General features: G+C 44.1%; 2 annotated features.

Moving 5' to 3' along the window:
- Positions 11254-11811: an enhancer, noted in NCBI's record as "OCT4 hESC enhancer chr5:12352-12909 (GRCh37/hg19 assembly coordinates)". NCBI's record gives its function as "activates a minimal SCP1, AML or CMV promoter by ChIP-STARR-seq in primed H9 embryonic stem cells {active_cell/tissue: H9 hESC(primed)}" and the evidence as "EXISTENCE:reporter gene assay evidence [ECO:0000049][PMID:30033119]".
- Positions 12491-13366: an enhancer, noted in NCBI's record as "OCT4-NANOG hESC enhancer chr5:10797-11672 (GRCh37/hg19 assembly coordinates)". NCBI's record gives its function as "activates a minimal SCP1, AML or CMV promoter by ChIP-STARR-seq in primed H9 embryonic stem cells {active_cell/tissue: H9 hESC(primed)}" and the evidence as "EXISTENCE:reporter gene assay evidence [ECO:0000049][PMID:30033119]".

The following is a 14162-nucleotide window of genomic DNA, read 5'->3' as shown; positions in this document are numbered from 1 at the left end:
CAGCTTCATCCATGTCCCTACAAGCGACACGAACTCATCCTTTTTTATGGCTACATAGTATTCCATGATGTATATGTGTGCCACATTTTCTTAATCCAGTCTATCATTGTTGGACATTTGGGTTGGTTCCAAGTCTTTGCTATTGTGAATAGTGCTGCAATAAACATACGTGTGCATGTGTCTTTATAGCAGCATGATTTATAATCCTTTGGGTATATACCCAGTAATGGGATGGCTGGGTCAAGTGGTATTTCTAGTCCTAGATCCTTGAGGAATCGCCACACTGTCTTCCACAATGGCTAAACTAGTTTACAGTCCCACCAACAGTGTAAAAGCATTCCTGTTTCTCCACATCCTCTCCAGCACGTGTTGTTTCCTGACTTTTTAATGATTGCCATTCTAACTGGTGTGAGATGGTATCTCATTGTGGTTTTGATTTGCATTTCTCTGATGACCAGTGACGATGAGCATTTTTTCATGTGTCTGTTGGCTGCATAAATGTCTTCTTTTGAGAAGTGTCTGTTCATGTCCTTCATCCACTTTTTGATGGGGTTGTTTGTTTTTTTCTTGTAAATTTGTTTGAGTTCTTTATAGATTCTGGGTATTAGCCCTTTGTCAGATGAGTAGATTGCAAAAATTTTCTCCCATTCTGTAGGTTGCCTGTTCACTCTGATGGTAGTTTCTTTTGCTGTGCAGAAGCTCTTTAGTTTAATTAGATCCCATTTGTCAATTTTGTCTTTTGTTGCCATTGCTTTTGGTGTTTTAGACATGAAATCCTTGCCCATGCTTATGTCCTGAATGGTATTGCCCAGGTTTTCTTCTAGGGTTTTTATGGTTTTAGGTCTAACATGTAAGTCTTTAATCCATCTTGAATTAATTTTTGTAAAAGGTGTAAGGAAGGGATCCAGTTTCAGCTTTCTACATATGGCTAGCCAGTTTTCCAAACAGCATTTATTAAATAGGGAATCCTTTCCCCATTGTTTGTTGTTGTCAGGTTTGTCAAAGATCAGATTGTTGTAGATGTGTGGTATTATTTCTGAGGGGTCTGTTCTGTTCCGTTGGTTTATATCTCTGTTTTGGTACCAGTACCATTCTGTTTTGGTTACTGTAGCCTTGTAGTATAGTTTGAAGTCAGGTCCTGTGATGCTTCCAGCTTTGTTTGGCTTAGGATTGTCTTGGCAATGTGCGCTCTTTTTTGGTTCCATATGAACTTTAAAGTAGTTTTTTTCCAATTCTGTGAAGAAAGTCATTGGTAGCTTGATGGGGATGGCATCAAATCTATAAATTACCTTGGGCAGTATGGCCATTTTCACAATATTGATTCTTCCTACCCGTGAGCATGGAATGTTCTTCCATTTGTTTGTATCCTCTTTTATTTCATTGAGCAGTGGTTTGTAGTTCTCCTTGAAGAGGTCCTTCACATCCCTTGTAAGTTGTATTCCTAGGTATTTTATTCTCTTTGAAGCAATTGTGAAGGGGAGTTCACTCATGATTTGGCTCTCTGTTTGTTATTGGTGTATAAGAATGCTTGTGATTTTTGCACATTGATTTTGTATCCTGAGACTTTGCTGAAGTTGCTTATCAGCTTAAGGAGAATTTGGGCTGAGATGATGGGGTTTTCTAAATATACATACAATCATGTCATCTGCAAATCATGGGCTTCTTTTCTAAGTGTGGGAGGGCATGGCCTGCATGACTGCTGGCTCCCAGCACGTGGCGTGCAAACCCATGCCAGGGTGTGTAATTCACTGTAGCCCTTGACAGAATATCAGGGGATAAAGGTTGTTTTTTAATCTTCTGTTTATTACCCTCAGCCAATTAACTTATATCTATAGTAGAAGATATTTTGCCAATTTTTTTTCAAAATGGAAAAATACCATGCTCCTTAAAAAGTCTTTTAGAAGCACAGAGTACTCAATTTCATTACATTAAAATCACGAAAATATAGAAAAAAGTGAAATTCACATATCTAAGAAATAGTTTTCTTTTGGCAAAATACTCTGCTTTGCTTAGAAATGTTTTTGAATTTTCCATGCATGTGTCCAGATGCATAGGGAGTTTATTCATTCAATTAAGTTAAAACATTAGATAACATGGTAAATTCAAAAAGTAGTGAGGACACATTTTTTTTCTGTCTCTTAACTGAGAAAACTGGCTGATGCCTCCTGTGTGTGAGCACCGTGTAGCTGATGCAGATACAGAAACCACGGTTTTCTTACTTGCTGCCGCTGGCCCCGGCACTGGAAGTTGGCTCTGGGAGGGCAGGGTGTCTGTTTTTATTACCACTCAGCAAGTGCCACACAAAGACACATGGGTGTCTTTGCCCTCTAGTGGATCCTGGCAGGAACTGGGAGCAAATGTGACTATAAAAAACATGAAAGATTAAAAAAATACTCATTATCTCTTCAGAGGGGATTTAATTCTAACAGGAGGCTTTTTTTTTCTTTTTCAAATGGGCTGATGGGTAAAAATAATGCAAGACTGGAGATGTTGGAAAAAAGCACACTGCATTTGCCTTTCGGCATCTGTGATGACTGAGTCCTTCCTCAGCGCTGCCACAGGGAGCACATTCACATGTGTGTCACACACATACCAAGGTTAGGTCAAAAAACCAAGTGTTACCTGGAGGAAGCTACAAAGACTATGAGACCAAGACCTCACCTAGAAGACACTTGATAGTTCAGAAGCCGAGATCCTGCGAGGTGTCCCAGAGAGCTCAGCTGTGACCCTGCACTGTATGGAAGGGCGGGCAGTGGGGCCCAGGCAGGTGAAGAGAATTGTCCACTGTTGAGCATCATCAGCCTAAAACCCACATGCAATGCTATTGCTGCAAAACCGCTGACTGTTGAAGCCAAAAACCACAGAAACAGACTCCCTTTATGGTCCTCACTGTGTAACTGGTGACTTTTCAGAAGATGAAGATTAAACATATTAATCACAAATTCAAAGTATCACAAGAAATACTAGGAGATTTTCTAACCTCTGCTACCATGACTTTTTTTTTGCAAGATTCGTGAATTGTTGTAAATAAGCTCACAGAGGCCAAAGTGCTCCCCTGAAGTCATCCAGAAAGAGGCAGGCTGCTAATCCCCACATCTGGGACATCTGTGTTTTTTATGATAATACAAAAATTAAAGATAAGGGAGAGAGAGGACAGAAAGAGACGGAGAGACAGAGAATTGGAGCTAAGAGGAAACATTTTCAGGTTTTGCCCCCCAAAATTCCCAGTGAACAGTCCCATTGCCAGCGGGTGAAATCGCAGGCCCTGGCTCCAGGATCCTGCTCTTTCCTTTGGTGACTCCTGTGCAGATTTGGCACTGAAACAATATGAAATTGTTACACTTCTCTGGACAAGTCATTATGCTTTTGGCTCACAGGCTCCACTTCCCTGGACACCCCTTCACCCTAAGCTTCAAGTAATTCAGCTTCACCCTTCAGAGCAGAGCTCAGCTGTCACTTCCTCTAAGGACCTCCCCAGCCGCCTCTCCAGCAGAAGGGCCCCCACCTTGCTCTTTGCACCTCTGTCCCTCGAGGTGCTGCTGTCCTTTGTGGAGGGTGGGACCCTGGGAACTACAGCCCTTCTCATGCTGGAGACACTCGGCACTCAGAAAGTGTGTGCTGAGCGGATGCAAGCGCAGCAAGCTTGCACAGCCTTACAATGTGTACTCTCATGTCTGGAATAGATCCCCATTTTCATTCTTGGTAAAATGAGTAAGTGGGGCTGGGTGACCCATACTCTCTTTTCAACTCAGAAGTCCACATCAAGCCTGACATCAAATAGCTTCCCAGCCAGCGCCAGGCCAGGACCCAGGTTGTTCAATGTGCCTTTGTCCCGCACAGAGTGGGGAAAGCATGGAGAAATGGGACTAGCTCTGCTGCCTGCTGCCCAGTGCCAACCAGCAACTCCAGGCTCACAAGCCCAAGGCAAAGGCACCTGCAGGAGATCTTGGTTATTCATTAGCTGTGATTGGGCTGTGAGGGGAGTGTGTTAACTTCTAATTTTCCAGGGACTAGCATGAGACAGTAAAGTTTGAAATGTGGTGTTTTTTGGTCTTGGCCAAAAACAAAAAAACAAAAAAAAACCCGGCTTTTTACTTTCTCATCCTTAGAGCCACTGGCATTAGCTATGGGCCTGATAGTTTAAGAAAACTTGAAAATGAACTACGTGAACCAGTAATCTCCAAAGTAATATTTTGATAAATAGTGTAATTCTTTATTACAGCAAAACCATTTCTTAAGTGGGCAAAACTCGGGAGGATAGGAAAACACACTCTTGAAAAGAGGTGGTGTTGCCCTGAACTTCAGCAAACTGCAGGGACACGTGTTGTTCTACCCCAGGTCAGAGTGTGTCGGTCATCACTCGATGCCACTCACAGACCACCAACTTCAGAATATCTAGGTGTAAAGCTCTGTACAAAAGTTGTAACATAATAATGTAAATAATTTTACATTATTATTAATAAATTATTATTTATAGTACACTATTACATAATGTAAAGGCTATTAAAACATGTTTGTCTTCAAAGAATGGCCTTGGTTTCTGTGGGCAGTGTCTCCTCACGGAAAGGTAGCGCATTCCTGCTAAATCATGGAGAAAACGGGCCTCCATGATTTGGGTTTGTTTCTGGGGAGAGATCTTGGTATAGAGAAAGGAGAAATGCATAGAGCCACCATCAGGACAGTTGGGATGAAAGCTGGGGTTGGGCAGAGGCTGGAGGAAACATGTGCACCCCCTGTAAACACTTTTATTCTTGTTTTAATTACTCATTTTTCTTACAGTGTTAAATTAGTAAAAATAGTATTGAAAAATTGAAAAGTAGGCATATTAAAACTTGCAACACCACTTAAGCTTAGATGTATTATTTGTACCTCAACATTTTTTATTTTGTTGAGAAAGTTTAAGGTTAATTGGCAGCATATTTCTAATAGTAGATAGAATAATGTCTGTTTTATAAACATTGACATCCTACATTACATGTGTGAACCCTGAAAATCTGAGACGGCTCTCAGATTTTTTTAGAAAGTTTATTTTGCCAAGCTTGAGGATGTGCGCCCGTGATGCATCCTCAGGAGGTCCTGACAACATTGGCCCAAGGTGGTCGGGGCACAGCTTGGTTTTACACACTTTAGGGAGACATGAGACATCAACCAATATGTGTAAGATGTGCATTGGTTCAGTCCAGAAAGGTGACAAGGCCAGACAGGGGGCTTCCAGGTCATAGGTAGGTAAGAGACAAATGATTTCATTCTTTTGCATTGCTGATTACCCTCTCCAAATGAGGCAATCAGGTATGCATTTATCTAGGTGAGCAGATGGGTGACTTTGGATACAATGGGAGGCGGGTTTGCCCTAAGCAGTTCCCAGCTTGACTTTTCCCTTTAGCTTAGTGATTTTGGGTCCCCAAGATTTATTTTCCCTTTATAAGGTTTTCCTATGAGCATTAATTATTCATTGTGTATTTTATCACACAAATAAGGCACAGATTTTTAAGAAATCATCAACATCGTGGCTACCTATATAGACATAATTACATAGAAGCTCAACTAAATTTGCAAACATTCCAGAGTTTGGGTTTCCAACAATTCTTTGTGATTCTTTAAAAGGTAAAGTATTTTTTCCCATAAAACATAGCAACATTTAAAATCACCCGTAGAATGTCCTGCCATTTTTGTTTCTCTAGTTTCCTCATTTTCTGCAAAGCCTCGCTGAGGAAATTGACTTTGAATATCCTTTTACACTCTTCTGTTTTAGAAAGCATTGTGGTAAAACATTGAATCATCATGGTCATAAGTTCTGTCCACATTCCTTCTTTCTTTGAATATTTTTTCCCAGTGACCAATATTTGATTCTGCTGTATTATGGCTAAAAGGTAGGCATGGGAACAAAATAAAGACAAGAAGTCTTCGGGATAAGTGATCCCATCACAATGAATCAATTTGCCATTGGAACATATTTTTACAAAGTCACTCTTTTGAAAATATTTAGCTATGAATTGAAACAGAGTCTGTAAGGTTAATATTTTTCCTGGTCTAAGGTGAACAGCATTTTAGAGAATGAACCCAGGACACAACCACAACACAAGAAAAAAATATGATAATTAAGTTTACACATATTGTTACTACTGTAACAGAAAACATGTAAAGAACATTTGTTTTGATTTATATATCAGTCTGCACTGTTTAATTTTTTGTGTCATAAATGCTCTTATTTAAAAAAACAGGACTAGTTAACAGTGTCAATTACTAGTAATTCATGGTATAAATAATTAAACAAGGAAGTGTTCAAAAAAACAGTGTTTCAAATAAAGTTTTATTTTACATCTTTACTTACACAGAAATTGTCAAAAAAAAGCAGATATTTCCCATGTAGCCGCAACCTAGTTTCCTCTCTTATTAACATCTTTTATCAGTGTGTTCCTTCACATGGCTTATTAATATCTTACACAATTTGTCACAGTTAATGAACCAATACTGATAGACTAAAGTTCATATTTCATTTGGATTCCCTTAGATCTGTCTTACTCTGATCCAGGATCCCATCCAGGATCCCGCATGACATGTAGTCATCATGTGGGCTCTTCCTGGCTGTGACAGTGTGTCAGGCTTTCCATCTCAGGTGACCTTGATAGTACTGAGGAGGATTGGTCAGGCATTTTGTAGAATGTCCCTCATTGTCACTTCATGTTCTCAAGGTGAACTGTTACCTTTGTTGTTCACTTGGATCATTTGGCAGAGCTACTGTTTGTCAGGTTTCTCCACTGTGAAGTTATTTTTCCTCCTTGTCCATACTACATGTGTTCTTTTGGAGCAAGCCACTATGCAGAGCCTCACTCCTTACGGAGTGAGGAGTTGGCTCCGCCTTCTTGACAGCTGAGTGTCTACATCAAGTATTTGGAATTCTTTTGCAAAGGAGATTTCTATGCAACTCCATTTGCTTATTCACCTATGCATACAAATACAGACACCTAGATAATTACTTTAAGCTTTAGCTATTATTCAACACTGCAGCCTTATGTTGCACAATTCATTCCTGTGTTGGCCATCGGTAGCTGTTTTTATTGGCTCTTATTTTTCTTTGATATATTTTAATTTTTTTAGTACTTACTTACTTACTGATACTTCCAGATTATCCTGGCTCCTATATTTACTCTCCCAGTTCTAGTATCAGACATTTCTTCAAGGAGCCTGATTCCTTTCAGAATGGTAGGAAAACTTACATCTGGCTGCTGAATGAGCACATTGTATCTTGTCCCTCATTAGCAATGCTAGGAGGTATATGTGTGTGTCTAACCTACCTATACACACCTAATTATAAAGTTTTCTATGCAGAACTGTGTGTATCTATATTAAACTAAACATAAGTTTACGTTCATGTCCCCACCTCTGATCTACTATCACTTGAATCATTCTAGCCTTCTCGCCTTGCTAATTTGTAACCTCCCACTTCAACAGTGAGAAACCTGGTTCCCACCATCTGCGACTTATGTAAGTCATTGTTTTATTCCAGATACAGACACTGTGGTTTTACAATTGTTCACAATTGCTTCTGTTGGAAAGAACTTTATAAAATGGAATACAATGATGAAGTATAGTTCATTTGCCTTCAGCTTACAGATTCTATTCATTTTCAAAGTGACTTTTGTCAACACCATTTTCCCTACACCTTCAGTGAGTTTTTACCTACATTTGCGTCTTAGTCCATTTTGTGCTTCTGTAACAGAATACCTGAGGCTGGGTAATTTATAAGTAATAAAGGTTCATTTGGCTCACAATACTGGTGGCTGGAATGTCTGAGATTGGGCAGTTGCATCCGGTGGGGCCTCAGTCTTTTTCACCTCATGGTGGAAAGTGGAAGGGGAGCAAGAGGTGCACCAGAGATCACATAGCAAAAGTGAAAGCAATAGGGAAGCCAAGGAAGCCAGACTCTTTTTAACTAGCTACTCCTGCAGGAATTAATCCATTCCTGTGAGAGCAGAACTCACTCACCCCCATGGAGGACATTAATCTATTCATGAGAGATCCATCCCCATGACCCAAACACCTTCCACTAGGCCCCACCGCCCCACACTGCCACATTGGGGGTCAAATTTCAACCTGAGTTTTTGCGGGGACAAACCACATCCAAACCATAGTAATTTGTAGCATAGTTAAATTATTTTTCACATGATGTATTCTGTCCTGGGATACTCCACGTGCTGAGTAATTTTATTTAATTTGAATAGAGTTTGATTTACCCATTTGGCCATAAAATTCTGTGTATTTTGACAAATGCATTGTGGCAGATATCCCACTATTAAAGTATCATATGGAAGGCTTCAAACCCCCACCCCATGGAGCCAATGGCTTCCCATCTGTGTAGTTTGCCTTCTCCAGTGTCTTATTAAATGAGATCACACTGTATGTATCCTCCTCAGACTGTCCTCTTCCACTTAGCAATGTGCATGCAAGATTCACTCATGTCTTTGTGTGAGTTGATAGCTTGTTCCTTTCTATGGCTAAATAGTATTCCATTGCATGAATGTACCACAATTTGGTTATGCATTATGGGGAGCAAAACTTTCCTCTTCTAACTTTGTTCCAGGGTTGGAGACCTTGAAATTAACTGACAATAGATATATTAGTGGGAGAGACAATACCTGGCTTCTTATTCCACAAGTATCATTGTTGGACAAAATTCATCAGATGGCAGGATCCAGTTTACAAAGTGGTAAAAATAGCCCAAAAACAAGAAACAAGACTAGAATCTGATAATCCACAATAGCTATAGTTTTCCTTTAAAAAAATTTTTTTTTGAGACAGGGTCTGGCTCTGTCGCCCAGGCTGGAGTGCAAAGGTGCAATCTCAGCTCACTGCAACCTCTACCTCCTGTGTGGTAAACCTCTACTAACCTTTAAGGCTGTGAACCCTGTAATCTAGGTATCAGGCTGGCTTTTCTCAGAGTGCTGTTGGGAATGAAGATTTTGGTGTTCCCAAAAAAAAAAAAGAATTAACGTGGGAACAAATGATCTCTTAGTGAGGCGAGCTTTGCTTTCTGCATAAGGGGTGCTACTCAATAGTTGTCCAGCCACAAGAGCACACCAAAGGAGACAGAGTTACTTATAACCTGATGTGTCTACCCTAGTGCTGTGTCCATTTTCCATTGGCTGAAATAGGACCTCACATTTTACACTTTACCCAATTGGCTATTAGTTTAAAACTTTCTTAATTAGGTTAGGGGAATAGAACAAAGAAAGAAATGGAAGTTGGCCAGGGATAGTTAAGGAAGCATCTCCAAATAAGGAATGGCATGCACTATGGGCTGGGGCTTGTCTAGTTCTGCCCAGGCATGCTGGAGCAAGCTAGGATAACTGATTTGGAATACACACACACACACTCACGTATATATATAAATCGTGGATAGCAATCATATAGTAAGAAATTGTGACTTTTTATAATCTTTGAAGAACTTTCCCATTTCTCACAGTACTTTGTAAGCATTGTCTCCATAAAAGTCAACCTTACTTCCTTAAAATTGCTGGTCATAACTGATCTGAGGTACATTTCATAAATATGATATTCCTGTAAAAACCTTGATAATATAAACAAAATTTCCAATTATGTCCCGTTATAAGGTTCTTATTAGACTTGTGATAACAACTATATCATCATGAAAATAAAGAGTATTCAGTTAGAATTTCAAAATTCTGGAGAAATCAGGCAGAGAAAAAAGATAAATGCCTCATTTCTGTTTATAAAAGTATAATCTACTAAATTGTTGTTACAGTTAGATTAAGGGAAAGAGATTTCTTAAATCCAGAAACTAGAACATTAAACAACCAGCAATGCTCTAAAAAGCTATAAAATTATAATCAATTTTCATCAGTTCATTCAGTGCCATGTAATCAATTCCAGTCTTGTGGATCTTGAGTTAGCAGTGTCATGAACCCATCAATTTCTCAACCAGACTTCTGGAGATCTTCACTGAGTCAAGTGTATGGTCTTAAAGTTATTTAAGCAATATCATCAGAAGCCTATAACCAGAGTACCTGTGAGTCTCAGAGGGAGTCCTGTGTTGGAGATGAACATTTTGACCTGTAGCTGATTGCAGGAGCTTTCAGGAAAGCATCGGGGAAATAATATCTAAATGACAAAGAGTATGAAATGGCTGTGATGAAAGATCTGATGAGAGTTCATTATACCACAACTGACAAGGGTATTCGATTTTTTCTGTGGCCGCCCAAAGTGCTGGGACTACAGGCGCCTGCCACCACAGCCGGCTAATTTTTTATATTTTTAGTGGAGACGGAGATTCACGGGGTTAGCCAGGATTATTTAAAATAATAATTGCAATTATGACTCATTACTCTATACTGGCACATAGCACGGATAAGGAGGACATTAACAAATTTCCAGGAATTTTATATCATTTCTGAAAACATAACATTTTACCCATACAATTATAACACAAGGAAGGTTAGGTATCTCTTTTTATTTGTATCTTATGTATGGTTTTCCTTATAAAAATTGCATCCTACTTTCCTTGCGAAACATGCCCTACTTTCCTTGCATGCTTCGCATAGGGTTGTTTCTAGTTATTCCATTATTTTTATTTCCCCTTTGGCTCAGCACTTCTTCTTGTTGCGGCCATGTGAAGAAGGACGTCTTTGCTTCCCCTTCTGCCATGATTGTGAGGCCCCTGCAGCCATGTGGAACTGTCAGCCCATTAAACCTCTTTGTTCTTTATAAATTGCTCAGACTCAGGTATTTCCTCATAGCTGTATAAAAATGGATGAATACAGGCACCATCCAATTGGCTGAGAGGCCAAATAGAACAACAAGGAAGAGGAAAGCGCTGGACAACACTGTAAGTAACAGGGCCCTGCAGTTGCACTAGTCGCCAGCAGGGGGCAAACTGGCACAGCATCGTAGACAAGCGGGTCCTGTAGTTCCCGGCTCCAAGCACGGGGCGCCCGAAACGGGCTTTTCAGATTGCTGAGGTTCCACCCTCCTCTACGCCGCGCCGCTGGGGACGTGTGTCTCTGCGCCTGGACCGCGCCACCCCAGCGCTCCCAGCCCGGCGTTGTGCGACTGTGCACCTGCAACACGCCCCGCCACCCTCAGCCCAGCGACGTGCGTGTCTGCGCCTGCACCGCACCTCCCGCCCCGCCCGACAAGCCACCCCGCCCCCGCCGGGGACGCGCCGGCGTGCGTCTATGCCCTGCACCGCGTCTCCCTAACCGCGGCGCGCCTCTCTGCGCCTGCGCCGGCGCGCCTCTCTGCGCCTGCGCCGGCGCGCCTCTCTGCGCCTGCGCCGGCGCGCCTCTCTGCGCCTGCGCCGGCGCGCCTCTCTGCGCCTGCGCCGGCGCGGCGCGCCTCTCTGCGCCTGCGCCGGCGCGGCGCGCCTCTCTGCGCCTGCGCCGGCGCGGCGCGCCTCTCTGCGCCTGCGCCGGCGCGGCGCGCCTCTCTGCGCCTGCGCCGGCGCGGCGCGCCTCTCTGCGCCTGCGCCGGCGCGGCGCGCCTCTCTGCGCCTGCGCCGGCGCGGCGCGCCTCTCTGCGCCTGCGCCGGCGCGGCGCGCCTCTCTGCGCCTGCGCCGGCGCGGCGCGCCTCTCTGCGCCTGCGCCGGCGCGGCGCGCCTCTCTGCGCCTGCGCCGGCGCGGCGCGCCTCTCTGCGCCTGCGCCGGCGCGGCGCGCCTCTCTGCGCCTGCGCCGGCGCGGCGCCTTTGCGAGAGCGGAGATGCGTTCTCTGTAGCACAGACCCTAACAGACCCGGAGAGCATCGCGAGGGCGGAGCTGCGTTCTCCTCTGCACAGACTTCGGGGGTACTGCGAAGGTGGAGCAGAGTACTCCTCAGCACAGACCCGGGCGGGCGGGCCCAGGGCACCGCGAGGGCGGAGCTGCGTTCTGCTCAGCAGAGACCTAGGGGACACCATAAAGGCGGAGCAGCATTCTCTTCACCACAGATGTTGGGGGCAGTGCCTCGCTTTGGGACAACTCGAGGCCGCAACGACAGTGAAGAAAATTTTTCCCGGTTGCACCCCTGAATAATCAAGGTCAGAGAGCAGTTAGAAGGGTTCAGTGTGGAAAACGGAAAAGCAAAAGCCCCTGTGAATCCTGTACACCGAGATGCTCCCAAGGAAGGCTTGGGGCTGCATTGCAAGGTCCAACTGCAGGCTCGGAACACAAATGCAGCCTTCCTAATGCACACGTAACACCCAAAATATGATATCCACATTGCTCATGTAACAAGCACCTGTATGCTAATGCACTCCCTCAATACAAAATTGTTAATATAAGATAGGCATAGGGTCAGGGTCGGGGTCGGGGTCGGGGTCGGGGTCAGGGGTCAGGGGTCAGGGTTCGGGTTCAGGGTTAGGGTTTAGGGTTAGGGTTAGGGGTTAGGGGTTAGGGTTAGGGTTAGGGTTAGGGTTAGGGTTAGGGTTAGGGTTAGGGTTAGGGTTAGGGTTAGGGTTAGGGTTAGGGTTAGGGTTAGGGTTAGGGTTAGGGTTAGGGTTAGGGTTAGGGTTAGGGTTAGGGTTAGGGTTAGGGTTAGGGTTAGGGTTAGGGTTAGGGTTAGGGTTAGGGTTAGGGTTAGGGTTAGGGTTTAGGGTTAGGGTTAGGGTTAGGGTTAGGGTTAGGGTTAGGGTTAGGGTTAGGGTTAGGGTTAGGGTTAGGGTTAGGGTTAGGGTTAGGGTTAGGGTTAGGGTTAGGGTTAGGGTTAGGGTTAGGGTTAGGGTTAGGGTTAGGGTTAGGGTTAGGGTTAGGGTTAGGGTTAGGGTTAGGGTTAGGGTTAGGGTTAGGGTTAGGGTTAGGGTTAGGGTTAGGGTTAGGGTTAGGGTTAGGGTTAGGGTTAGGGTTAGGGTTAGGGTTAGGGTTAGGGTTAGGGTTAGGGTTAGGGTTAGGGTTAGGGTTAGGGTTAGGGTTAGGGTTAGGGTTAGGGTTAGGGTTAGGGTTAGGGTTAGGGTTAGGGTTAGGGTTAGGGTTAGGGTTAGGGTTAGGGTTAGGGTTAGGGTTAGGGTTAGGGTTAGGGTTAGGGTTAGGGTTAGGGTTAGGGTTAGGGTTAGGGTTAGGGTTAGGGTTAGGGTTAGGGTTAGGGTTAGGGTTAGGGTTAGGGTTAGGGTTAGGGTTAGGGTTAGGGTTAGGGTTAGGGTTAGGGTTAGGGTTAGGGTTAGGGTTAGGGTTAGGGTTAGGGTTAGGGTTAGGGTTAGGGTTAGGGTTAGGGTTAGGGTTAGGGTTAGGGTTAGGGTTAGGGTTAGGGTTAGGGTTAGGGTTAGGGTTAGGGTTAGGGTTAGGGTTAGGGTTAGGGTTAGGGTTAGGGTTAGGGTTAGGGTTAGGGTTAGGGTTAGGGTTAGGGTTAGGGTTAGGGTTAGGGTTAGGGTTAGGGTTAGGGTTAGGGTTAGGGTTAGGGTTAGGGTTAGGGTTAGGGTTAGGGTTAGGGTTAGGGTTAGGGTTAGGGTTAGGGTTAGGGTTAGGGTTAGGGTTAGGGTTAGGGTTAGGGTTAGGGTTAGGGTTAGGGTTAGGGTTAGGGTTAGGGTTAGGGTTAGGGTTAGGGTTAGGGTTAGGGTTAGGGTTAGGGTTAGGGTTAGGGTTAGGGTTAGGGTTAGGGTTAGGGTTAGGGTTAGGGTTAGGGTTAGGGTTAGGGTTAGGGTTAGGGTTAGGGTTAGGGTTAGGGTTAGGGTTAGGGTTAGGGTTAGGGTTAGGGTTAGGATTAGGGTTAGGGTTAGGGTTAGGGTTAGGGTTAGGGTTAGGGTTAGGGTTAGGGTTAGGGTTAGGGTTAGGGTTAGGGTTAGGGTTAGGGTTAGGGTTAGGGTTAGGGTTAGGGTTAGGGTTAGGGTTAGGGTTAGGGTTAGGGTTAGGGTTAGGGTTAGGGTTAGGGTTAGGGTTAGGGTTAGGGTTAGGGTTAGGGTTAGGGTTAGGGTTAGGGTTAGGGTTAGGGTTAGGGTTAGGGTTAGGGTTAGGGTTAGGGTTAGGGTTAGGGTTAGGGTTAGGGTTAGGGTTAGGGTTAGGGTTAGGGTTAGGGTTAGGGTTAGGGTTAGGGTTAGGGTTAGGGTTAGGGTTAGGGTTAGGGTTAGGGTTAGGGTTAGGGTTAGGGTTAGGGTTAGGGTTAGGGTTAGGGTTAGGGTTAGGGTTAGGGTTAGGGTTAGGGTTAGGGTTAGGGTTAGGGTTAGGGTTAGGGTTAGGGTTA

This window comes from Homo sapiens, chromosome 5 (assembly GCF_000001405.40).
Source record: "Homo sapiens chromosome 5, GRCh38.p14 Primary Assembly".
NCBI lineage: Eukaryota > Metazoa > Chordata > Mammalia > Primates > Hominidae > Homo > Homo sapiens.
Note: the sequence above shows the minus strand (reverse complement) of the source record. Positions and strands in the feature narration are given on the sequence as shown.